The following is a 1,898-nucleotide window of genomic DNA, read 5'->3' on the forward strand; positions in this document are numbered from 1 at the left end:
AGTCAGGCCTGTAATCCCAGCACTTTGGGAGGCCGAGGTGGGTGGATCACTTGAGGTCAGGAGCTCGAGACTGGCCTGGCCAAGATGGTGAAACCCCGCCTCTACTAAAAATACAAAAATTAGCCAGACGTGGTGGATACCTGTAGTCCCAGCTACTTGGGAGGCTGAGGCAGGAGAATCACTTGAACCCAGGAGGCAGAGGTTTCAGTGAGCCGAGCTCACACCACTGCACTCCAGACTGGGTGACAGAGCGATTCTGTCTCAAACAAACAAACAAATAAATAAATAAATAAATAAAGTCAGGAAAATTTTAACACCTTAAGAAAAGTCCTTGATTTTTAATGTTTAAAAATTGACAAAGGCTAATTTTAATCAAACAAGGGAGAAATAAAAATCAATAGTTCTCCTTGGAACTTCTCTTATAATTCTCACATTTTTATACCTCTCATCAAGAACATCTCTGGTCAGAAGCAAAACTAATTTTCATTTATGTTGTGGACAGTTTTTAAAGTGGTTCCTAGTTATTCCCACTCTTGGTACTATACCCACTTCATATCCCCTTCCCCTTAAATGTGAGGGGAACCTGTGATTTGCTTATAATAGTACACAGCAAAGGTGATGGGCTATCACTTCCAAAATTATAGTATTTAAGCTGATTTATAAGTTGTCTTGCTAGAAGACTGTATTCACTACTAGCTTCAATAAAGGAAGCTGCTATATTTTAAGCTACCCTACAGAGAAACTCACACAAGAAAGAAATGAGGGTAACCTCTAGCCAATAGCCTGCAAAAACTGAGGCCCACTGTCCACCCTCAACAAGTGACTGAATTTTGCCAACAACCACATGTGCACGGAATGGGATCCCTCTCCGAATGAACCTTGGAATTAAACTGCAGCCCCAGCAAAAACGCTGATTGGAGCCTTTTGAGACCTTGAAGCTGAGGACCAGCTAAGCTATGCATAAATGTGAAATAATAAACGGGTGTTGTTTTAAGTTGCTAAGTTTGTAATAATTTGTTGTGCAACATGAGACAATACAGTCTACAAAATGCAAAAAGAAGAAACCTAAATACATAGATTCTCTGCTTCATAAAAGTTATTACTTAATTCGCTAAAAACAATCATTTTAAGCACAATGTTTTTCAGAGGAATCCGTATACCATAAGGAGAGATACACACATTTCTACTGTTAATGTCCTCAACCAAGACTTTACTCAATTTTTTAGAGCAAAGATATTCTGGCCTCAAAGTATACATATGATCATGCCCTTTCTATTCAACTCCCAGGCATCGGCAGATGATACAGCATGTCTTGGAACTCCATGTGTCTTTTTTTGCACAATACATTTCTGAATGCAAAACTCAGCTTTTCTCCAGAGACACCTGAGAATTATGAGAGAACCCGAGAGCTGAAGCAAACTGTAACTTTAAATTCCATTAATCCTGCAGGTTCTTAACACCCTTATTTTTGAGAAGTATTCAACTCACATAGTTAAATATAGGTGAATCTATAAACCAGTGACCAATAAACTTGTTCTATAAAGGACAAAGGTAATGGTTAATTTTATGTGTCAACTTACTGGGCTAGGGAATACCCAAATTCCTGGTTAAACATTACATTTCAAGTGTGTCTATGAGAATGCTTCTGAAAAAGTTTAGCATTTGAATTGGTAGACTATGTAAAGAAGACCACAGTCACCAATGTGGGTGGGCATGATCCAATCCCTTGAGGGCCTGAAAAAGTCTAAAAGGTGGAGGAAAGACAAATTAGCTCTTTGTCTGAGCCGGGACATCCATCTTCTCCTTCCTCCAAACATGTGCACTCCCGGTTATAAGCTTTAGTACTCGAACCTGGATTTACACTGTTGCCTCCCCTGGTTTCCAGGCTTTCATACATG

This window comes from Homo sapiens, chromosome 17, assembly GCF_000001405.40.
Source record: "Homo sapiens chromosome 17, GRCh38.p14 Primary Assembly".
NCBI classification, from domain to species: Eukaryota; Metazoa; Chordata; class Mammalia; order Primates; family Hominidae; genus Homo; species Homo sapiens.